Source organism: Homo sapiens, chromosome 1 (genome assembly GCF_000001405.40).
Source record: "Homo sapiens chromosome 1, GRCh38.p14 Primary Assembly".
NCBI lineage: Eukaryota > Metazoa > Chordata > Mammalia > Primates > Hominidae > Homo > Homo sapiens.
This window is the reverse complement of record NC_000001.11, coordinates 85,484,764-85,510,105: the sequence shown is the minus strand read 5'-3', so window position 1 is coordinate 85,510,105 and position 25,342 is coordinate 85,484,764. Positions and strand designations below refer to the sequence as shown.

At 38.6% G+C, this 25,342-nt stretch overlaps 1 protein-coding gene across 3 annotated transcripts in view, besides 1 other annotated feature; it reads left to right on the top strand.

Annotated features, from left to right (window-relative positions):
- The window catches only part of DDAH1 (dimethylarginine dimethylaminohydrolase 1), a 259,716-nt gene that overhangs the window by 68,095 nt on the left and 166,279 nt on the right, over positions 1-25,342 (top strand). For 2 of the 3 annotated variants that reach the window (NM_001134445.2, XM_011541158.2), the window contains one exon: positions 13,825-13,940. The exons of the other annotated variant lie outside the window; for it this stretch is intronic. The gene's annotated coding sequence lies outside the window, so the exon portion shown is untranslated. Of the gene's footprint in view, positions 1-13,824; positions 13,941-25,342 lie in introns of those variants that run through there. 3 annotated transcript variants of the gene reach the window in all.
- Positions 13,678-14,877: an enhancer, noted in NCBI's record as "CDK7 strongly-dependent group 2 enhancer chr1:85960912-85962111 (GRCh37/hg19 assembly coordinates)". NCBI's record gives its function as "activates an origin of replication core promoter dependent on BRD2, BRD4, P300/CBP, MED14 and CDK7 cofactors, with strong dependence on CDK7, by STARR-seq in HCT116 cells {active_cell/tissue: HCT116}" and the evidence as "EXISTENCE:reporter gene assay evidence [ECO:0000049][PMID:35650434]".

The window sequence follows — 25,342 nt, the reverse complement described above, 5'->3', positions numbered from 1 at the left end:
ACCTTTCTCTTCGGCTGCCCTTAACACTTTTTCCTTCATTTCAACCTTGGTAAATCTGACAATTATGTGTCTTGGAGTTGTCGAGAAAGATACTTCTCGAGGAGTATCTTTGTGGTGTTTTCTCTATTTCCTGAATTTGAATGTTGGCCTGCCTTGCTAGGTTGGGGAAGTTCTCCTGGTTAATATCCTGAAGAGTGTTTTCCAACTTGGTTCCATTCTCCCCATCACTTGCAGGTACACCAATCAAATGTAGATTTGGTCTTTTCACATAGTCACATATTTCTTGGAGGCTCTATTTGTTTCTTTTTACTCTTTTTTCTCTAACCTTGTCGTCTCAATTGATTTCATTAATTTGATTTGCAACCACTGATACCCTTTCTTCCACTTGATTGAATTGGCTGTTGAAGGTTGTGCATATGTCACAAAGTTCTCGTGCCATGGTTTTCAGCTCCATCAGGTCATTTAAGGTCTTCTCTACATTGTTTATTCTAGTTAGCCATTTGTCTAATCTTTTTTCAAGGTTTTTAGCTTCCTTGTGATGGGTTTGAACATCCTCCTTTAGCTCAGAGAAGTTTGTTATTACTGGCCTTCTGAAGCCTACTTCTGTCAACTCATCAAAGTCATTCTCTGTCCAGCTTTGTTCCACTGCTGGCAAGGAGCTGCAGTCCTTTGGAGGAGAATAGGTACTCTGATTTTTAGAATTTTCTGTTCTGGTTTTTCCCCATCTTTGTGGTTTTATCTACCTTTGGTGTTTGATGTTGGTGACCTACAGATGGGGTTTTCATGTAGATGACCTTTTTGTTGATGTTGATGCTATTCCTTTCTGTTTGTTAGTTTCCCTTCTAAGAGTCAGGTCCCTCAGCTGCAGGTCTGTTGGAGTTTGCTGGAGTTCCACTCCAGACCCTCTTTGCCTGGGTATCACCAGCATAGGCTGCAGAACAGCAAATATTGCAGAACAGCAAATATTGTTGCCTGATCCTTCCTCTGAAAGCTTCATCCCAGAGGGGCACCTGCCTATATGAGGTATCTGTCAGCCCCTACTAGGAGATGTCTCCCAGTTAGGCTACACGGGGGTCAGGGACCCACTTGAGGAGTCAGTCTGTCTGTTCTCAGAGCTCAAACGCCTGGCTGGGAGCACCACTGCTCTCTTCAGAGCTGTCAGACAGGGATGTTTAAGTCTGCAGAAGTTGTCTGCTGCCTTTTGTTCAGCTATGCCGTGCCGGCAGAGGTGGAGTCTAGAGGCAGTAGGCCTTGTTGAGCTGCAGTGGGCTCCACCCAGTTCGAGCTTCTTGGCCGCTTTGTTTACCTACTCAAGCCTCAGCAATGGTGGACACCCCTCCATCAGCCAGGCTGCCGCCTCACAGATTGATCTCAGACTGCTGCCCTAGCAGTGAGCAAGGATCCATGGGTGTGGGACCTGCGGAGCCAGGCACAGGAGAGAATCACGTTGTCTGCCGGTTGCTAAGACCTTGGGAAAAGCCCAGTATTTGGGCAGAAGTGTCCTGTTTTTCCAGGTACAGTCTATCAGGGCTTCCCTTGGCTAGGAAATGGAAATCTCCCAGCCCCTTGCACTTCTCAGGTGAGGCAACACCCCGCCCTGCTTCAGCTTGCCCTCCATGGGCTGTACCCACTGTCCAACCCAGTCCCAATGAGATGAACCAGGTACTGCAGTTGGAAATGCGGAAATCACCCGTCTTCAGCGTCAATCACACTGGAAGCTGCAGACCAGAGCTGTTCCTATTTGGCCATCTTGGCCTATCTTACCTTGCCTTTTTAAAAGGAATTTTATATCATCTACTTGATGAGGGAAAATTTATCTTTAGAGAAGAATGCCAATGAAGGAGTGATAATATTTGAAATTTACTAATTTGCAACTCCCAATGAAATAATCGATTCAGGCAAGGATCTTTAATAGTAAAAGATTATTGCAGAACCGGTTATTCACACGGTTACAAAGCATCACAGAACATGTCACTTCCTAAATGTAAAAAGTACAAAGGAGAAGATCTGGCAGTCACCACTTTAACCAAGTGATTGACCTTAGAATCACTAATACGGGACAAATTTGTATTATGTTCCTCCTGATGGGGTACAGATGAAATTCATGAAATCATTTATTAAGTATTCTTGCCAAAAGGGCTTAATCTGAATCGAAGTAAGCTTTTAGGCAGGCCTAACCTCAAATAAATAGGAGTTACAGGGAATCAAAGAAAAATCAAATTACAAAGAATCCTGCAGAAGAATCTGAATTTGAGATATTCTACAAAACAACTATTTTCTTTTTATTCCTCCAAAAGTCATTTTTATGTGGGGAGAAGGACTGGGGGAGCTGTCCCAGGTTAAAAGAGACTAAAAGGCCATAACAACCCAATACGAGAACTTCAAAGGACTCTTAGCTTGATAAAAACAGCTAAAACTTTTAGAAACATTTAGGGAAAACCTGAATATGAGCATATATTAAATAACATGGGTATTATATGATATTAAGGAGCTAATATTAATTTTATTAGAAATGATAATGACATTGCAATTATGTATAAGAAAATTCTTATTTTTAGGAGATGCTGTTTGTTTGTTTATTTATTTATTTATTTATTTATTGTGATGCAGGGTCTCACTTTTTCACCTAGGCTGGAGTACAGTGGCACAAACATGGCTCACTCCAGCCTCAACCTCCTGGGCTCAAGCAGTCCTTCTACCTCAGCCTCCCAAGTAGCTGGGATTACAGCTGCATGTCAGCACACCTGGCTAATTTTTGTATTTTCTGTAGAGACAGGGTTTCACCATGTTGCCTAGACTGGTCTCAAGCTCCTGGGCTGAAGCAATCTGCTTATCAGCCTTCCAAGGTGCTGCGATTACAGGCATGAGCCACTGCGTCTGTCCTATAGAAGATGTATATTTAGGTGTTAATGTTTAGGTGTGAGGTGTAATGATTTCAACAACTTTCAAAATATATACACACACACACATATATATATATTTGTGTGTGTATGGAAAGATAAAGCAAATATGGCAAAATAGTAACAATTGTTGCATCTACATTGAAGAGATTGTAGAGATATTTATTTTACTGTTCTTTCCAATTTTCTAGATGTTTCATGTTAAACAATTTAGAAAAGAATTTATGCCTCTACCCCCTCTTCTTTTGTGCCTCTGGAACTCCTTTCTATCCCCGTGGTCACTCTCTGACTACTGCTCTTCATCGCCTCTTACCTGAACCTTTGTGGTGGCCTCCTATGTTTCTGTCTTCAGTCTAAATGCCTCCAAGCCATCTATCCGAGGCACCTTCCTAAAAATCAGTTGTCACCATTTCTCTACCTTGCTTCACTTTATCAGTAGTCATTCCCTTCCTCATCACCCACATGGTAAAGTCTGAATAAGCTTAGCAAGCAAGGCCATCCACACTTTTGCTTCAAGCTACACTGACATCACATCCTTGTTCAAGGTGTTCTCCTACTGCCTCATAGCCTAAGCTCTACCTAGGTCACAAACTCAAATGCCCGCATAGAGGGCTGGGAATAAAAGAGTTTAAGTTGTGGGTCTAGGGTGGACTGGGGATCAGGAGCCCTGTCTGAAGGGGGCAGCTATTACTTGGGACCAGGTGAGTGTTGCTGTGAGAGGATGTGGGCCAAGTGTGAAATCTTTGTTTCCATTAAGTCAGAAATAAAGATTTGTATACTAATACTGCCCTATTTTAAATGCTAATGGTCATTTATTTTTTTAAAAAAACTGCTGCAGAATGAAAAAATTGTGACTGCAGAGTATGATTCTGTGATAACCCATGGGACTTAATGCTCACTCTTTCACACTGACCTCTTTGTCATTCTTCCTTCTCTCTCCATGGTGGGAAGACTTTCTGCATCCTTTTCCTGGTGAAATCTGGTGAATACTTCAAAACCCAGCAGGCAAGACCATTCATGTTGCCCTGTCAGGCCCGGGCAGACTGAGGGGCTCTCTCTTTAGTGCACCTCAGCCATTCATTTTTACAACCTTCCTTCTAGAACTTGTCACGGAATTACATATCTGGTTGTTTGTCTTCTCCCACTGGATTCTGAATCCTCATGATTAATAGCCACATTTTATACATCTTTGTCTCCCCTGAGCTGCTCACAGTGTCTGGTGTAAAGTCAGCGTTCAATGAACATCTGTTGGTTAAGTTGCAGGCTGTTAAAGGTAATGCTATAGAAGAATTTAGGACATGGCTTCTATGGCATCCAGTTTAAAATGTATTAAAAAAGTCTATAAATCAATTAAAGAAAATTTTCTATGATTATAATATTCCAAGTAAGTTTCTCTTTTGAGATCATTTGTCTATTGTAGGAAGTCAGGTAAATAAGTTTAGTTTTAAAAAACAAAAATTTCTCAAATCAGGATTCTTTCTGACCCTTTAATCTCAGATAATGATAATAGAGTATTATTTCAAGGATTCCCCTTCTAGCACAATCTTGCTCAAGATCAGGCCAAGAATATAGACAGGTTCAGTAAACCACAAGTGCTCTAAACCTGCTTGAACCTATGTAAGAACTGAGCAGTGGGGTGTGCACTGAATCAAATCACCTTCTCTCCTCGGGACATCAATTCCTATCAGTACTGTATGCACCTGATTCTCTTATTCGTGTCTTTTTCATGCCTTTCTTTAATGAAATACTTTTTCCCTCTTAGCAGGCCTTCCAAAATTCAGCTCAAAACTTACTTCTTCCTAGAAGTGTCTGCTATCACCTGCCTTGATTGTTCCTCTGTATTATATTCTCCATTTATCTGTGTTTCTTTTTTGTTAGGTGTGGCCTACTCTGGTGTAAGACATATAATAAGAATAATTATGATATTAAGAAAAAGATAATACGGTTATCATAATATTTGGCTTTGGGAGGCCAAGGCAGGTAGATCACCTGAGGTCAGGAGACCAGCCTGACCAACATGGTGCAACTCTGTCTCTACTAAAAATAAAAAAAATCAGCCGGGCATGGTGGTGTGTGCCTATAATCTCAGCTACTCGGGAGGCTGAGGGAGGAGAATCGCTTTAATCCAGGAAACGGAGGTTGCAGTGAGCCGAGATCACGCCATTGCACTCCAGCCTGGGCAACAAGAGTGAAACTCCGTCTCAAAAAAAAAAAAAAAAAAAAAAAAAAAAAAAAAAAAAAAAAGAATCATTGAGGGCCATTGTTAAAAGAAATAGCTTACCAGACCCCTCCCTGGAAATTCTGATTCAGTGGGTCTGGCATGGGGTAGGGAATGAGGATAGGTATTTGTATTTTTAACAAGTGCCACAGATAGTTCTTATTATCAGGCAACCCTGGGAAACATTGCCATCATCCTTATAAGCTTGGGTTTGGGAGCAGACTAGTCAGAGTTTGAGGATGGGTTCTCATGCTTTTTAGCGTATGTAACAGTGGGCAAGTCACCATGTCCTAAGCTGTGATTTTTTCATCTAGAAGAGGAGGATGATAATCACTGTCTCAGTGTTGTTCTGGGGACTAAATGACTCATTTAGAGCATGAGCACTTAGAAAGTTCCAGACATTCTAAGTGCTCAGCAAATATGTGACAATCATATTCATATTTTGCTTGCAGTTTGCTTGGTTATGCTACTGTGATTCAAAATCTGAATGATGGTTTTCTTGGTTCTTCTATAGCACTATGGTGACCCAGGAGTGTGACCCAGGAGAGTGACCCAGGAGATTTTATCACAGCCAAAGACTATTGTTGAGAGCCTGCTCATCTCTGCCAACTTTTTATTGACTCAATAAGTTATCACCCTTTGTTCTCTTTAATTTTACCTGTCATTTCCATTGAATTACAGAAAGGTCTTTGAGGCCAATGACCCTGCCATCTAGTTTTGTTATACAGTAGATCCAGTATCCTGTACAGTGGGCTATCAACAGAGGGCATGATCTAATAAAACACACATTTATTTCGTGGAGTTATAGAGCCATCATCTCTTACTTAGGTTATGACAGCTCCTAATGGGTCTTGGAGTCTTGAGGTCTTATGCTCTTGCTTCCCTACAATGCAGCCTACGCTGCAGCCAAAGCGATCTTTGAGCAATATCATCACAGCATGCCAGTCTGTTTGAAACCTTCCAATCCTTTCCCTGTATTTATAATAAAATCCAAACTCTTTACTGTGGACTTGTAAGCCCTACCTGATCTGGGCTAGTCTGTCTGTCTGACCGCATCCCCTGTGATTCACCTCCTGGATCGTTACATTGCAGCAATACTGAAGTTCTCCCTCCCTAGACTGACCTTTTCCCCCATCATCACCTGCCACTTAGCCCAGAGGTCACCTTAGAGATCTTCCCTCATCTCCCTATCTCATGTTTTCCTGCCACTATTTCCTATCCCATCTTCCTGCTTTATTTTCTTCTCATCACTTACCACTGTCCAATATTGTACTTATCAGTAGGTGATGTTAGTTTGTGTGTTTATTGGAAGCTCCATGATAGCAGGCATCTTGTCTATCTTGTATTCCAAGTACTGGGAACAGAACCTGGTACCTTCATGGGCTTAGTAGATAGATAGATGGATGGATAGATAGATGGATAGATAGATAGATAGATAGATAGATAGATAGATAGATAGATAGATAGATGAACTTTAAAGAACATCAGCCGGGTGCAGTGGCTTATGCCTGTATTCTCAGCACTTTGGGAGGCCCGAGGTGGGTGGATCACCTGAGGTCAGGAGTTCGAGACCAGCCTGGCTAACATGGTGAAAACCCGTTTCTACTAAAAATACAAAAAATTAGCCTGGTGGCGCATACCTGTAATCTCAGCAACTCAGGAAGCTGAGGCAGGAGCATCGCTTGAACCCAGGAGGCGGAGGTTGCAGTGAGCTGAGACCACACCATTGCACTCCAGCTTGGGCAACAAGAGTGAAACTCCATTTCAAACAAATGAACAAACAAAAAGATAAAGAACATCTATATAGTCTAATATATTTCAACTTTTTTAAAGCAAGGAACTCTTATCAAACAAAATGTTTGTTTTTAAATTATTAATTTGGTTGTTGGGGTTTTTTTTTAACTTATTTCTTGACAATTAATAGGATTCCATACACATAAAAAGTTCTTAGCAAACACTTAACAATTTACTGAGTCCGTGTTCAATGAGATCCACCACCAGGGGGACATCAATCCACTGACTGGTAGCTATGGATAGTGAGAAAATCTGGCTGAAGGAGAAGCAGATCTGACTCCAGGAGACAAAGGCAGGCAGAGGCCCCGAGTGTTCTGGTAGTGTGACTCCTCCAGGGCTTCCCCATGGCTCTGCAGACAGAGGTGGTAGGAGGCAGGAGAGGCAGGGCTATCTCTGGAGAACCCAGAAGAGAAGCAGCAAAAGAGGACTCTTTAATGCAGGCCAGGCTTCAGTGAGAAACTGCCTGGCCTGGAGCAGCCCTGTACCAGTGGCTGCAGCACTGCAGAAACAATGGCAGTGGTGGTGGCGGTGGGGATAGGTGGAAGCAGCAGTGGTGGTGATGCCACAAGAAAAACTTCTTAGGGAGGTACTAAGATGGGAAGCAGCCTCTTACCAGGCTGAAGCCAGAGGGATCTGAGAAGGGGGCAATGATGGCAGTGACAAGCAAGGGACAGCAAGGAGGTCCTCAAAAGTGTCACATTTTCCCAGGAGAAAGGAAGAGATTCAAAGAACTGAAATTCCAGCAGTTGAGCATGTGTGATCTCAGTCAGAGCCACTGGCTTTGTTGTCATTTGGTTGTGTTTACTTTTCAGTATCATTCTCAAGAATTAAGCAAGATAACATGTGCAAAGCATCTAGCAGAGTGCGTGGGGTGTAGTCAGCAAATGTCGTTTCCTCTCGTTGTTGGGCAACCACCAGTAGCACCATATCAGAATTAAAGGTGAATAGAGGAATACTGTGTTAAGCTCTGAGGAAGAAACAATGATAAATTAGACATTGTCCGTGTCTTCAAAGAGTTTACAATATGGAAGTGACATGATCGTTCAAAAGGCAGAAAGTGCAAAGTGCTGTCTGAAGCAGTGCCAATAAAGTGTTAAGTATGTTCATATATACTTATACCTGGCATAAATTCCAGCGTAGCAGACTGGATAAGCTTTATGGAGAAAGTTTGGATTTTAAAGAATGAATATAATTTAGGCATGGGAAGCATGGTTAAAGGATAAAGAGGAGGAGAAGGTAGTGAAAGAATAATAAGAAATTTAGGAGGAAAATCAAGATTAGAGTTCTAAAAACCAGGGAGAATTTCAAACAGGAGATGATGAGCAAAAGTATCCAGTGTGAAGGACTTCTGCTTCTGGCTTTGATGAAGTTACTAGTACCAGCCCTCTTGCCATAAATAGCTGTAAAACTGGACAAAATATATGGAGCAACTGTTTTCAGACGTTGAAATTCACCCAGTGTTGAACTTTGATCCCTGGGAAAAGGGAAACACATGAGATGAAACCCTTGGTCACCTTGTCTTTTTTCCTGGCGGCACAGCAAAATGGAGCCCAAGTTGATAATGGTTGCTTTACTGTTCTGAGGAGGCAGAGATCACAGTTCAGGGTGGTTGAGGTGGTTGGAATTTGTAGGTCAGGCTAATGAAGAGAAAGCTGCACAGAGAAACAGGTCCAGAAATCTGCATATGGGTACTATAAAGTCTTTGGACAAATGCTAAGCTTCTCACTTTCTGGGTGAGACTCTACAAAGTCTGGTGGCAAATAGCTACTGGGGGGCTGTAAACTGGGTGGAGATTCCAGAAGGTGCACAAAACTGGAGATGTAGATGTTCTGAGTGGAGATGTTCTCAGTGATTCCCTGGGGTTTTCAGTGAAGAACCAAGAAAGGCCAGGCGGTAGGAGGAGGGCTACTCTAGCCCTGGACTCAAGGCTATACTAAGTTCATCCAAATAAAGTTTAAAAACAGCTTTGTAAAAATTAAGCTTCTCCACTAGTAAATTAACGTAACAAAACTTAACACTCTTTAAATCCAGACCTGATAATGTAGCGTTTAATGTCTAGCATACAATTCAAAAATTACTAGATATGTGAAGAGGCATGACCACAACAGATTTTTTTAAGTCAATAGAAACATACTCAGAGATAGCAGATATGTTAAAATTAGCAAGCAAAGGCTTTAAAACAACTCTTATAAATATGTTTAAAATTTTAAAGAAAATATGGACTCCAGTAAATAGAAATTCTCACTAGAAAAATGGAAAGTATAAAAGAAAACCAGCTAGAAATTCTAGAACTGAAAAATGTAACACCTAAAATGAAAAAAAAATCCCTAAATGAGCTTAACAGCAAAATAGATTCCATAGAAGAAAAAAAAATAGTGACATTGAAGACAGGGCAATATAAACGATCTCAGCTGAAGCACATAGAGAAAAAAGCACTGAAAAAAATGAACAGAGCCTCTCTGACTTGTGGAATAGTATGAGGTGGCCTAACATCTGTGAAACTGGAGTTCCAGAAAAAGATGAAAGAGAAATTGGGGCAGAAAATATATTTGAAGAAGTGATAGCTGAAAAAATTCCCAATTTGGTGAAAAATATTAACCCATAAACTAAGAATCTCAATAAACTCCATGCAGGATAAAAAACAAAGAAAACCACTCCTGGGTACATTATAACCAAGTTTATGAAAGCCAAGGATCAAAGAAAAAAGTTTTAATAGCAGTATGAGGAAAAGACTCATTCTGCGCAAGACCCAGGGGAACAATAATGCTGATTTATCAAATAAGCCAAAAGAGAATTGAATAACACCTTTAAGGTGCTAAAAGAAATAAAACCTGTCAACCTGGAATGAGAAACCTAGTGAAAGATAAAGATCCTTTAAAAAAATGAAAGTAAGAAAAGAAGAGAAAATGGGAAGGGAAGAAGGGAGAGAGACAGGAAAAAAGGAAGGAAGGAAAGAAGGAAGGAAGGAAAAAAGAAAGGAAGGAAGGAAGAAAGGAAGGAAGAAAAGATGAAGGAAGGAAGGAAAAAAGAGAAAGAAAGAAAGAAAAGAAAGAAAGAAAGAAAGAAAGAAAGAAAGAAAAGAAAAGAAAGAGGAAGGAGGGAAGGAAGGAAGGAAAGGAAAGAAAAGAAAAGAAAAGAGAGAGAAAGAAAGGGGAAGGGGAAGAAGAAAAACACTGCCAAGCAAAAACCAAATGTATCAATGGTACACATAAACTGTAAGAAATATTAAAGGAAGTTCTTCAGGCTAAAAGAAATGATACCAGGTAGAAACTCAGATCAACATAAAAAAATGACTAGTGCTAGAAGTGGTAAATATGTGGGTAAATAGAAATTACTTTTTTCCTTGCCTATTATTGAATGAGTAAAACTTAATTATAAAGCTGAGTTTTTGGTAGACATTGCAATAGTCTGGGAATCAGGAAATCTGGGATCTGGTCCACTTCTGTAACCTTAGGTAAGTGGCTTAATCAATACTTGATATTCCTCTCTAAATGGTAACAATTCAAGAAGTTTCTTTTTTTTTTTTTGAGATGGAGTCTCACTGTTGCTGGAGTGCAGTGGTGCGATCTTGGCTCACTGCAACCTCCGCCTCCTGGCTTCAAGCAATTCTCCTGCCTCAGCCTCCCAAGTAGGTGGGATTACAGGCATGTGCCACCACACCCAGCTAATTTTTTTGTATTTTTAGTAGAGATGGAGTTTCAACATATTGGCCAGGCTGGTCTCGAACTCCTGACCTTGTGAGCCACCCACCTTGGCCTCCCAAAGTGCTGGGATTACAGGCGTCAGCCACCGCACCCGGCCTCAAGAAGTTTCTTTTTATCATTGCTAAATACCTCAAAAGGGCTATCTACTTATTATTTCTTAAATTTAATGTATATATGAATTACCTAGGGATCTTGTTAAATTCAAGATACATTAATAAAGTTATTGTGGTATAGTAAAAAGACAGACAAGTAGATCAATGAAATTAAAAATATATATATTCTTTTTTATCCCTTTTACTTCTAACTTGTTTATACTTATGCTTTATACATAAAGCATCTCTTTTATAAACTCTATAGCATTAGTTCTTGTTTTTTTATTCAGTTTGATAATCTCTGCCTGTTAATTGGAGTGTTTTGTTCGATGTTGAGGTTACAGCTACTATTTTGCTATTTATTTTCTCCCATCTATTTGTTTTGTTTTGTCTCCTGTTGTTGCTGTTCCTTTGTTTCTCCTTTTCTTCCTTCTTTTGAATTTGTTGAGAATTTTTTTTATTATTTTTATTTTTTTGAGACAGGGTCTCACTTTGTCGCCCAGGCTGGAAGGCAGTGGCGTGATCTCTGTTCACTGCAACCTCCACCTCCTGGGTTCAAGCGGTTCTCCTACCTCAGCTTCCCAAGTAACTGGGACTACAGGCATACGCCACTACCTCCGGCTAATTTTTGTATTTTTTTTGGTAGAGACAGGGTTTCACCACGTTGTCCAGGCTAGTCTCAAACTCCTGACCTCAAGTGATCTGCCCACCTCAGCCTCTCAAAGTGCTGGGATTATAGGCATGAGCCACCACACAGGGCTCGAAAATGTTTTAATATTTCATTTTATTTCCTCTATTGGCTTGAAAACTATATGTTGTTGTTTTATTTTGGGCTATCTAGGGACTGAAATGTGCATCCTTAGCTTAGCAGAATCTACTATGATTTCACATCACTACATGTGTAGTATAAAAAACCTACAAAAGCAAATTTTCTGTTTTCCAATATGTTCTTTGCACTATTGTCATACTTCTACATAAGTTAACAGCTCCACGATAAGTTTTATTATTTTTGCTTTAAATAATCAATTGTCTTTAAAAGAAATGAAATAAAGGTTGATATTAGAGCCATTCTGGAAAACTTCCTAGGTTTACTCTGATTACTGTATTTTCCAAATGTCGTATGTGAAGTCCTTTACAGGCCCTACCTGCTGGGTTGGATGAAGCAATCCTTGAGGGAAGTCACCGCTATAGTCCTGTTGGCTATCCCTCAGAATCTCTTCAAAATTCACCCTGGAGAAGGAGAAGAGAAGGATGCTTAGAGAGGAAGGGAAATACTGGCAAGGAGATGGGGAGAATGAAACCACTTTAAGACTGTATTTTAAAGGCTCGTTAAGCTTCACTATTAATGAAGTATAATTTGAAGAGATATATTTCCTTCTGGAAGGCAAGTTTTAAGACACTAGGGGGTTAGTTCACCCAGAGAGATGCTGGTAATTATATTTGAATTGTCAGTAATTCTAGTTCCATCACCAGAAAGCAAAATGCAAGTAGTAAGGGATGACTCTACTTGAAATCTCAGGGGGAAGAAAGAACTTTGCTTCTCTCAAGGTCATCTGGTGTTTAAAGAAAATGTGTCATTGATGATTTAATAATATATAACATGAGAAATTGCATTAGTATAATTGTGTTACATTTTATAATCTTATTTTTTATGTAGAGAACAGATTGCCTTAAATCTGCAAGTATTGTATTTGAGTTAAAATTGCATTCAACATACCATAAATATGTACTTCCTAATCATTTAAATGTTTGCAATCATGTGTATCTCAGTTAAAATATATGTTCACATTATACTTTAAATTTCTATTTCCTTTGGACATTATTGTATTTTGCAAGATCAGAAAGATTATCTAAAAATTTTCTGTAATGATAATGGAAACCATGTTAACATCTGAATCATGTTCAATGTGAAAAAGATAGTTGGGGCCAATTTAACAGTTAGTACTCTTTCTTGGCAGAGAATGACAGAACACTGCTGTAAAAAGGACTGCTGTCTTTTCTTTTTAAATCTGCAAAGTGTTGCTAAGTACCGTAGTCCCTCGCCTTTGGAAATACCATGGCTTTTTGGGTCACCAGCTGTGTGTTATATACCAATAGAGAGTACAACTCACAGCCATTTTTTGCATTCTTAGTGCTATTTGTGGCTGTTTCTTTACCTCATGAGCTGTATGACACCTTTTATTTAAATAAATCCTTATGTTTGTGATCACTGTGCATCAGGTTATTGGGCCTGTGGCTGGCCTTCCAGTTGTTCATCAGTCTGAGCTCACAAGAAGCAGACACAATTGTCAGTCATTGTGCTGTTCTGTTAGGTTAAGTCATCCTGGTGGTATCCAAAACATTTCTGGTATAAGAATTATTTTTTTCTGTTTTGAATTAATGAAGCAGAAACACAAACTGTGAACATTGTCTGTAAATAGCCTTTGTTCCTTTATGCAGAATGTCCTCAATGTTAAGGCCTGCAAGAAGATAGTACGTGTTATATTAGTTTTATAGTATTAGTGTTCGTGCTGAATGATGGCAGGAAAACCAGCTAGGTTTTATTTCTTACTGGTTATTATTGGTTGATGAATTCCTGTGAAGGTTTATGATATTAGGTTAAATTATATGAAATTGCTATTTGTGTAGACAATTTCATATGACTCAACCAAACAGGAAACAAAGCAGCTTCAGTTCTAGGATACAAGATATAATTCAATTAATTTGCTGTACATCATTGTGAGTCTGCTACAAATATCTTAAATTAATACATATAACTTAAAAATTGGAACTGGAAAGGAAAGATTTGTTTTCCTCTTATTCTTACTTTGTTTTTACTCTGTGTCATTGCTCTCTTGCTTTCAAGGAAAATACCGACTCTATGTACAGAACATCTCCTGACATTTGCCATTCTGTAGGTCTTGAGGGGTAAACAAGTAAGAACACAAATATTACTTACTCAGTTGTGAGTTAAAGTCATCTTTCTATTATTCTAACAATAACAAACTTGCAGCTCTTCCTTAGTGAATTTTCATGAATTCTCTTCTCTCTAGAGAAGACTATTTCATCACAGAAATATATTAGAGGTATTAAAATGCCTTTCCCCTCTCTCTGCTTCCATATTTCTCCATTTGCAGTTTCATCTGTATGGAAAAGGAGCTCTGGTAACTTTGGCCAAGACTTTTCAGTAGGAAATGCTTCAAAATACAAAGCAAGAGCTATTTTCAAGAAAGACCTTCTAAATTTATATTAGGTAAGTTAAATTTTAGATGTCCTCCTTTACAGCTAAAAGTAAACACATTTGATTTAATTATATTCATCAAAATGTACTTGCATTCAAGTGTTCTTATATGTCAATACTCCTGGATAGATTTAAATTACATTGACAGAAAACATCCATTTCCTCACATTTTCAAACACCAAGCAAGTAGCAGAACCCGGTCTTTAGCGTGGTTGTATTTTAAAAAAATGTAATCCAGCCAAGGCTGATCTTGTTTTTCCTTTATTCTTTAAGCCAGAAGCAATTACTTTTCATTTCAGGATTAAGCGTCTGTAACGTTGCCACTCGTCGCTGAGGCTCCTGGTTTCAGCATGTCTCCTTGGTTCCCAGCCAGCTCTGGGTGTTCAGGTAGCAGCTGTGGCTGGGAGTGTCTCTCCAGTCCACATTCCTTGGCCATGAATTTTGCAGCCCTGTTTATCTGATGAAGACCTCCCAGTAGTGAATTGCTCATGACATTGTCACACAGACCTTAATGAATGATATGGAAAGATACTGAATATTTTTCCTCCCGGAATGCCAACCAAGCTTCAGTGTCCCAGCGCCTTCATTCCAGCTGATCATGGCAAAGGCTTGGTACTGAGATCCAGTGAGACCTTTGTCCTACAAAAACCACATTCTCACTGGATGCCTACAAGTCCTCTCTATGGGACTGTTACCCAAGCCTGTTTACAGAATTTTCAACAATTACATCTGCCCATTTGCTGAGTCTCACTTCTCTGCACTAATTGTTGACTTCAATTTATATTTTTAATGTACAAATGCTATCACCAACTTCAGTGCATGAAGACCTCTCTTTCTTCTCTTCAAACCCATGACTTTGCTTGGAATAACAGGGATGGCTTTATGGCATGGCTTTCTCATTATTTCATGTGTCTTCATTTTGCTTTCCCAAGCCAGATTGTAAATTCCTTGAAAGAGGAGACCCTGAAAACTAGAAATACCTATACAGACAGATAGACAGTAAAAAAAAAAAAAAAATTGGACAGAAAGACATCTGTTGCTCTAAGTAATCCAGAAAATTTGCCTTAACACGTTCAGAAGACATATTTGGCTATAATATACAACTCCTCTCCTTTCCCCCGCCTGCCCTCTGCTGGAACTGCTAATGAGCAGTAAGATGGCAAAAGCAGGACATTGTATGGGAAATGTGGGAAAACAGGGGCTAGTCTGACTAGAAGGTGAGTTGAGTAACTGTGATTTGTGAGTCCACAATGGGAATCTTTGAAGTCCTTCATGATGTGCCTTTGTATGACTAGCAATCTCCTCACAAGACTCTATGGTTCACTGTGCACAAAGATATGATTCTGCCTGCCTGCCTGAGATAGACCAAGTGACCTTGTGTGTTCTCTTCCTCCTCTGTGCTTGTTTCATCTGCAGAACCATCTGATGGATGGCAGACAGCTGAACCAGGTACTGCCCCTTCCCAAACACAAATGCCCTCCCCATTCACCATTCCCTAGAGCGTTCACTTCCTTCATCTATGAAAGGCAATTACTAGGGTCTAGCAAGACTGCCAATTTGGTAATGCAAAGCAGGAGATAAGTGTGAAACTCTAGACTGGTTTTCTGTTTCAAAGGGCAGCAGGATGTGACAGCTGCTGAGGCAGCCCTTTGCCCTTGGAGAGGAGAAGCAGGAGTGTGATCACTAGATGACCTCTCCCTCCTGCTGTCTCCTGGGTGGTAGGGACAGTCTCTCTCCCAACACTACTCTTGGTCAGGTGGCTACATATTATGAAAAAGAGGAGGAAAAACATGTTTTTGCTTTTAAAATTATTATTAAGAGAGAGTACTCTTTGGGGAAGCAGAATCCATTAGCTGAATTCATTTCAGTAGCTATGTTTAATTAAGTTAGGCAGCCTTAATGCAATTTTATTATGTAGCCTTTAAGAGCTGTTCTGGTAAATGCCCATCCTATAAATACTAGCACTACTTTATATGTGTGATATCCTTTTTGGAAGGGCAAATCTGAATTATTATCCAGATATTAATCTGCACACAACCCTATCCAGACAATGCAAAGATGCTTCCTCATATTCTGGACATTGTTCAATACATTCAGAAGGGGGAAAAAACTGCTCAGATATGACCTTCTACATTTTAAGTCAGTGGATAAGCCAGCCTGGTTGCATCCCAAAACATACTTTTGAACATCAGTTTCACCTTACTACTGACCAAGTAATTGATTTCTGCATTTCATTATGTAAATTAAACACTAGACTTTGAATTACTAGAAATACACAGTTAGCCAATAAACCTTTCTTATAAAATGACAGTATTTTAATTTATTAGATGCGTTGGCATGTATTCATGCCTAAGATTTCATCAATCAATTTTCCATTTTAAAAAGCTGTCTCTGGAAGCAACAGTGGAGAGATGCTGAGTTCCAAAAGCAATGTTGTGAAAGGCAGCAGGTCTAGCGTTCCAGGCACATGCTTAACTAAATTCTAGTCAATAACCATGTGGCTCCAAGTATAAGCCCACATTTTTTAAAGTATCTACCTTCTGAACTGACTCTTTTGGAATGTCAGAATTTTAAAAAGAAAATATTTAAATTTCTCTATTTAAGAGGTGTGCAATGTTTGTTCAATATTGGAGCAACCTCTGATATTATTTTAAAATATTTATTTTGCCACTTTGACAGCCTTCTACACTGCCCTTGGGTTTTAATTTTGTTTACAGTACTAAACTTCAATAGTTGGCTTCAGATTAAATGAATATTAGTATGTTGTGGTGATTTTATTAATTATTTGCTTTTGAAAAATTTTTTAAGCTGAAAGTCACTCCAAAATAGAAGCTTTAAGAATCACTACCACCAACTTAACTTTAAGTCATTTATTCATTTCATTCAGTTAACAAAAATATATTTAACACATAGGATTTGACTGACTTATCCCTAAGCAAGGTAGGCATAGCACCTGGGGCCCACAATACTTTTAGAGGCCTATAAAAACAGTCTTTTAAAATCAGAAGAAAACAAATTTTTTTATTTTAAAATCAGAAGAAAAAGATAAAATTTTAGGTCAAAGAAAGTATATATAATATTAATATATTCATTTTCATACCAGGATGATCATAAAATATAATTTTAAATATTTTTTAATGAAGGAAGGGGCCCATGAAGGCAAAAGTTTCCAGGACCCATAAAATGATAATGCAACCCTTCGTGACATATGCCAAGTTTTATCTATGCTAGATTCTAGGGGTAAGAAGATATGTAGGGCACAGTTTCTGTACCCAAAGCACTCATAGTCTAATGAAGAAAATGGACATAGACAGTTCATAATGTGGTTGGTTCCCTTGACATTGTTTGAGAGTAATTACAAGCTGAAAAACATAAGGGTTTTACTACAAAATGTCATTTAACACATAGACTTGGCCTTACATTTCTTTCCGTTAAACTTATACAAAAATTAGGTTTATATATATCTTAATGCTACATAGACAGTGTAAGTATATATGTTTGTTCATTTTAAACATTACTGATATTGCCATTCAGATCTGTAAATCAGAATGTTCATTATTTTATAAATGCTGTCCATCAACAGGATCACAAAGGAAATTCCACGTGCTGATATCAATGGTCCAATGAGGAAAATGAGAAGTGAGATCTAGTTCTCCCTAGCTTAGCAATGCTTATCTATATCCTTTCGAGTTTTACTGAGATTTCAGAAATGGAACAGAATCTTGGCTGCACTTTCCCTCTTCATAAAATTTCACATTTATATGAGATTCTGCATTTATTTTTTTCTATTACTGTTTCTAATGCTGCAATTTGGGTAGTCACAATGTTCCACTTAACCTAAGTCTTCCTTGTTAATATTTGAGTCCATTTTTGCATTTTTTTATTGTTAATTAGAGAATGATTTCTGAACATTTTCTATTTTTAGAGCAATTTTACCTGCATTATCTTATTACACACACAAAAGCTTTTTGAATAAGTAGGACATCATAGGACATTCAAAAGAACACAGACTCAGACAAGCCTGAGTATGAATCTGAATTCTGCCAGTCAAGCTGTATTATTTTGGTCACTTCATTTAACCTCATTTGCATCTCAGCTTCCTCATCCATAAAATGAGGATCATTATGCATGTCTCATAAAGTTGCCATAAGAATTAGGATAATGTATGTTAAGTGTTAGACCAGCACCTGAAATTTAGTAGATACTAAATAAGTAGCTGCTATTATTATTTGCCATATTTTATAAATTAGGAAACTGAAACACAGACATATTCCTCATGCCAGTATAGGGGGTTAGGTCACCTAGTTATTACAGGCAAACTGCAGACTTTGTTTTGAACAAGCCTTATTGAGAATGATGGTATAGAGTACAAAGTACACAAGCAAAAGATACAGAAAAAACACTGACATCAAACCAACCAGATAACCAATATATGTTTATTGGGCACCTTGTAAGTATAAGACATTCTATGTACAAGTTGGGCTACTTTGCAAATGACGGAATTCCAACTTGATCACACAAAAAAAGAGAATTTGCTGGCTGATGTCACCCAAACACAGAATGTGGACAGCTGGTCCTATGGATGTCTGGACTCAGTGGCAAGCACACTTTTAGGGCTTATACTCTCTATTTCTGATGTATGTTTCCAGTTCTCTTTGCAGATGAGCTTTCTCCATGCCATGGGGAACATGAATCCTAGCAACTATGATCTCTCATCTCATCCTAACAGCAGTTCTACCAGCAAAGAAAGAGGATTCCTTTGTCTTTGTCTGCAGTTTGAAAACAATCCTAACAATCACTTGCATTGAATCAGTTTAGGTCATATACTCTTCCCTGAGCCAATCACCAAGCCAGGAAGATGGAGTAATATAATTGGCCCAATTAAGAGCACACGACATGTTAGGAGCTCGAGACCAGCCTGGCTAACTTAGTGAAACCTCATCTCTACAGAAATACAAAAAAAGCTAGCTGGGCATGATGGCACACACTTGAAGTCCCAGCTACTTGGGAGGCTGAGGTGGGAGGCTCATTTGAGCCTGGGAGGCAGAAGTTGCAGTGAGTGGAGATCACACCACTGCACTCCAGCCTAGGCAACAGAGCAAGACTGTCTCAAAAAAAAAAAAAAAAAAAAGAATACATGTTACTGTTGTCATTAGAAGAGAGGGAAGTGTATTGGGCAAGCAAAAATCATAACCTTCACCTTCAATGAGTTATAATAGAGAAATTAATATTTTAATGGTAGAGTTGGCTCAAGGAGCCAAGAGGCCAGAATCTCAGAATGTCTGGCTGAGATGCCATGAGCCCTGAGCAGACATGTCACATGGACTGCCCAGCCAGGAAGGGAGGCCTATCATAATTTTGTCCCCCACTTGTGTTATCTCATAGACTACAGACTTAAATTTATTTCTTAATATGCATACTATTTAAAGAAGGAAGTTATAAACATTTGGGCATTATCTTAGAGAAAGCAGAACTTTCTAAAGAGAGTGTCTAGAGGCTGGACCACAGACTAACATCCCTGTTGGTTGAAAAATTGCAGGCTGTCTTGTCCTGTTGGAAAGCATTATTTTAACAGATTGCTTAATGCTTTTCCTTCCTGTAGCATGGGCTTGGGGGAGTGGTACTCAAAGCAGACTTATAAATTGGATTGTATAGTGAATGAACTTTGCTTAATGGCTTTGCTGGGTTTATTTAAGACATTGAACTGTTTGCCCTTGTCTCCAGTGGTTCAATGACCACTCATCATTACATTAGTGGGAGAACTATCATACTGTGTTAGAGATACGGAGAGCTTGTGACTGGGTGAAGAGTCAGTGTTTTGACTTTTTATGCCAACATCATTATTTTCCCACTCATTTCACATTTCTCCTGTCAGTTCAGCCCTCAATTCAAGGTTACCTTGATTACTTTCAGGTCTTTTAGTCATGAATCTTTCTAAACTATTTTTACCTCAAATTGTTCCTATATTTTCATGAACTCACTTTTTCTTCTTTTCTGTCTCAAAATTAGAGGTATTCCTAGTCTTTTCCAGCACTAAATTCTTCCCTAGTCTACCTCCTTAGAAAACTAACTTCATTCATTCCTTCATCTTCTATTTGCATTTTCAACTATCTCTCTTCATTGCATCTTTCTCCACTTATCCACCACAAGCCTACCTCTTGAAACAGTATCAAATGAGATCATATTTGGGAAAGTGCTCTGTTACTCTGAAGTAGAATATAAATATGGAATAATATCATAATCCTGTCTTTCTTCTTCCCTCCGTGATCATTTCAAAAAACCATCAATATAAAATATTTTTTAATTTTACTATATCACTGTTCAACTCATTACCTAATGTCTTAAAATCTGATTCTGTCTCCTAAAATACTATGTTAGGGGTTCATAACTTTATCTTCCAGTATTTGACACAGTTAACTACATCCTCCTTCCTTGGTTTTTGTAACCTCATTACCTTGATTTGCCTCCTCTCCCTTTAACCATTCCTCTTTCCTTCAATGTCCATCTTTTCCCTTCTATCTCTAAATGTGGGTGGTCTCTATCATTCTGTCCTTCCTTCTCTCCCTCTCTCTCTGATTCTCATAAATACTCCTTGAAACCACCAACAAATTCTTTTCTTCAACCTCTGTTAATTGCCTGCTGATAATTTTAACCTAGATGTCCCACTAGCCCCCAAAGAAAATGTATAGTAAAATAAACTCTTACCCCACTCCAAATATCTTCCACCTTATCTCAGCCAACAGTGTTACTCTTTTACTGAGTCACCTAGGCTTGAAACCCTAATTCCATGATTGATTTTTCCCTCCTTATCCCTGAATCTAATTTCAGCCATATTTTACAGACATTTACTCTGTCTCTGCCTTCTCTTCCTTCAGGTAGTGATAGTTCAGGCTGCTGGAATAGCACACACCCTATTATTTTTGCTTTCAGTAGGGTTATCCAAACGTATTTTGTGGTCATACTGTTTTTCCCTTCTTTGTTCCTTAGTTCTTTCCCTTTTCTGGTCTGAATAACCATTTTAACTTTATTCACAAAGACCACTAAATCTTCTGTGCTAACATTTTCTCAGAACTTCCACTAAACATGTTTAGAATGGCTAGAATGGCCTGTATAACATGCCTGGTAAGTAACAGCTGGGTGCAAGTTGACTATTGTTTATAAGTAGTGACATGACAAAAATACATTTCATAGCGTATGTCTATTAATTTGCATTTTCAAATGCAGTCACCATCTTCATATTAGAAAATTCAACCGTATTTGATTCAGAATGCTGAAATTTTGAGGATCTAATGACATGCTAATGAATATACACTGAACATGTTGCCTGACTTTTAATACTTTTTCACCAGTCATCAGAATATAATTCCAGTTTATGTCTAACCTCATCAGAAACATCACCTTTCAGTCTCTAGGACTCTAGCTCTCTAACTTTGTTTCTGCAGATCCTATTAGCAAAAAAATGATTAAGGACAGCTTCAGTTTTCCCAGTTTTGACATTAAGGGTATTTGATGCCACAGTAGTATACTGTGCAACTGTAAAAAAGAATAGGGAAGCTCTTTATATGTCTATATGGAAAGATCTCTATTAAGAAATGAATGTTCATGTCTCCCTCAAAACTCATGTGTTTAAGTCCTAACCCTCAATATGATGATGATATTTGGAGATGAGGCCTTTGGGATGTAACTGGGGTTAGATGAGGTTATGAGGGTGGGACTCTCATGATGTGATTAGTGCCTTTATAAGATTAGATGCCAGAAAGCTTGCTGGTTCTCTATCTGCATGTTAGGACATAGTGAGAAGAAAGCCATCTGAAAACCAGGAAGAGAGCCCTCACCAGAATCTGACCATGCTGGTGCCCTGATCTTGGACTTTCAGCCTCCAGAACTGTAAGAAAATTAATTTCCATTGTTTAAGCCACCCAATCTATAGTATTTTGTTATGGCAGTCTGAGCTGACTAATACAATCTCCAATATTTATTATTATTATTATTTTGAGACAGAGTCTTGTTCTGTCACCCAGGCTGGAGTCCAGTGGTGCGATCTCAGCTCACTGCAACCTCTGCCTCTGGGTTCAAGTGATTTGCCTGCCTCAGCCTCCTGAGTAGCTGGGATTACAGGTGTGCACCACCACACCTGGCTAATTTTTTGTATTTTTAGTAGAGACGGGGTTTCACCATGTTGGTCAGGCTGGTCTCGAACTCCTGACCTCCAGTGATCTGCTTGCCTCAGCTTCCCAAAGTGCTGGGATCATAGGTGTAAACCACTGCATCTAGCCTCCAAGATTTATTTTTAAGTAGGGGAGAAAAGAGTGCCAATGTGTACTGCAAAGTGCCAATGTGTACTGCAATGGGAGTTAAAAAAAGAAGAGAAAATATACTTGTACTGGCTTGCATATATGTTTTTTAAATCTTGGGAAGTGTAAATGAGAAACTGATAATATTGGTTACCTGTTTTTTGGAGATAGGCAGATAGAGAATAAGGGAGGAAAGGAGACATTGCTGTATATCTTTTTATACTTTTTGATGCTTGAACTATGTGAATGTGCTACCAGTTCAAGGAATTAAATAAATAAAATTTACTTTTTTAAAGTAATAAAACAAAAACATTTAATAACAAAAACATTTCATTTGGAAAAATAAGATTATATTCAAAGAAGAAAAATACTGATTATGTTGAAAGAAGATGGCTGACTAGCAGAATAACTAAAGCAGAAGTTTACATTTGATGCAGGCACAATTTGAACAAGATGAAAGAATAGGAGCAGATGTATTAAATAACTTTCCCAGTCAGCTCTTTAATAACTCCCATGACAGTGTAGGCAATTCTTATTGTTACTGCCCTTTTCTTGGATCTGCGTTGGCTACTGCCAGCAGAGCTGGAAGTGCCCACATGACATGTATTCAATTGAAAGGTGATAGCCACAAGTTCTCAAGTACTCTCAATAATGCTCAGATGGTGCCTGAGAGTGACACCTTCTCCTTCAACTTCCCTTGGTTGGAAGTCCTAAGTACAAGGAGAGCAACTACTGAGAAAAGGATCCAGTCATCCATTTGAAGAGGGTTAATTTCTCTTCCAAGAACACAAATGTAACTTTTCTCACAACCTACTTTGGCGAATTAAACATCCAATTGTTTTACGGACACTATATCATACTGCCCCAGAACATTGTCCTTCTGTAGTTCTGATCATTTTATTTCTGTTTAATATCTATCAAAGAATTCTTCTCTATTAGTTTCAGGGTAAAATCCAAAATTCAAAATATGATATTCAAAGACTCTGGTCATCAGGCTTCAGCCTATCTCTCTACCCACATCTGCTCATTTTGAGCTGTTTTGCCATGACCCCAAAGTGCTTTCCTTTCTCTACCTCCATGCCTTTTTAAATGCCATTTTCATTGCCTGGACTACCCTTCTATTTCTTCCTTTTGATGATGCTTTTCCAAATTAAAGTGAGTGTTCCTTTTCTAATATCACCCTGTATTTATTGCACACCATTGAGATTCTCTATGTGCTTGTCCTTTCTATCAGACTCGAGAAGTTCAGGGGCCATAGCATATTCATTTTGCATCTCCAATGCTGGCATCCAGTAAGCATTTGATGGCTGAATGACTGAATAAATATGTAGTCTAGCTGAAGTTTTAAAGACAGAACATTGTAGTACCCTATAATAAAATCCTACCCAAGGCTTAGGAAAAGTGCCTTGCAGGAGGATTCTAACTCTGCATTTTAAGAGTATAATTCAGCCTCAGATTGACTTGTAAGAGCTGAATTCTGTCAGAACAATTCTCCCTGAGCCTTTTGATTTTTTGGAAGGCTTTCACTTTTGCAGATTTGTGTGTCTGTGGTTTGAAAACTCTGGTGAGCATTCCCATACTAAGGTAGCTCTTTGAAGATCTCCTCTGTTTAACAGCATTTTACTTCTCATATTCTAAAGCATAGATGACAGCTTGCAATCCAGTGGATTTTCATCCTTATCTCCTGAAAACCACATTTCTTAGGCATTGTGATAGTAAGTTCCATATCTATGAAAATCACCCCACAGAAGTGAGTTTTCAGCTCAAACCTCAGATACGCATTTGCTTGCAAGAGAGCAAGAGTGACAGCAGGGCAAACTCAACCACTTTGTAGTTAGATGTCTTTCTCATGTGTCTTTCTCAAAGATTTTCTTTTAAAGTGTGAAATTTCCAGAAAAATCTAACAGTTTCTAGCCAAAATAGTTCACTTCCCAAGCTAAAGGGGTTGATTTTGGTGGGCTTCAGTTGTATCAATAGGCCACTAGTGAGGCAGACTTCAGAGATAAGCCCATCTTTTGTTAATTCACTTCACTCTGAACAAAACAGACAAAATAAATGCTTGAACCCCACCTATTTAGACATGCTTGCATAAACATGGCTTCATAATAGTTTGCTTTCAGAGTCCATTGACTTTAATTGTCCTACGGATGCTGTTTAAATGCGTCCATTGATATAATGTGTTAGTGCTCATTTTCTATAGTAATGAGCATAGTCACAAGCCTGAGTTCAGTATACATTTGAGCAAAATCCTGGCACTAATCACAATATAAATAGCACATCTGATCTTACTGACATGTGGCTGAAGGCAAAACGTAAATCCAACAAAATTTGCAGGACTTTAGTTCTGATGCCATTTCTTGTAAAGTTTGGGGATAAAAATGATAGGAGTCCTGGAATATTTTTCCCATGCTAGGATTTTAGTTATTCTGCAGTTACCAAATCTGCAAAATTTCTGGATTTGTCCTCCTCCAGGAAACACTGTCTTAATTAAATAATTAATTAAGCTCATTTAAAAGCCAGTGATTCTCCTGTGGTTTGCTTCTATAATTGCCTCTTTACTCATTTAAAAAAAAACTACCTAAGCTAACTCTTTTATTTGTTCTTAATATGATGCTTTACCTAGTTCATGCAATTGTTTATCATATGACTTATGTGTCTCTCTGTGTTGTCATTGTCATTATCTGTAGAAAATTGTTAGGTCCCAAAAGGCAGGACCTGAGTATCCTTATTTTCTGTGGCACCCGCACAGCATTATGTGATATTAAACAGGCAATAATTATTTTAGTGTGATGAAGATGGGAATCTATAGCATGCTGATGTAATGTGAGTTTAACATCAAAAAATAAAGTTACTGAAGCTCAGGTATGCTATCCATAGCACACAGTAACCTGTATTAGTTACTAAGAAGGGTTTAGTATTATGTGAAAGCAGTTGATGAAATGTTCAAAATAGCCAACTTCCAATGACTCAGAGTACATGTGTCCCTTAAATTGCTCACCTGCTTTTGCTCTAGAGCTATGTTTCAGCCTGTATGTTTCCAGAAAGAGGCTGAAAAGGCATACAGGAGGTCAAATCAGCCAACTTCTACATTTTGGTGGTTCTGGTGATAGGGTTACTGAG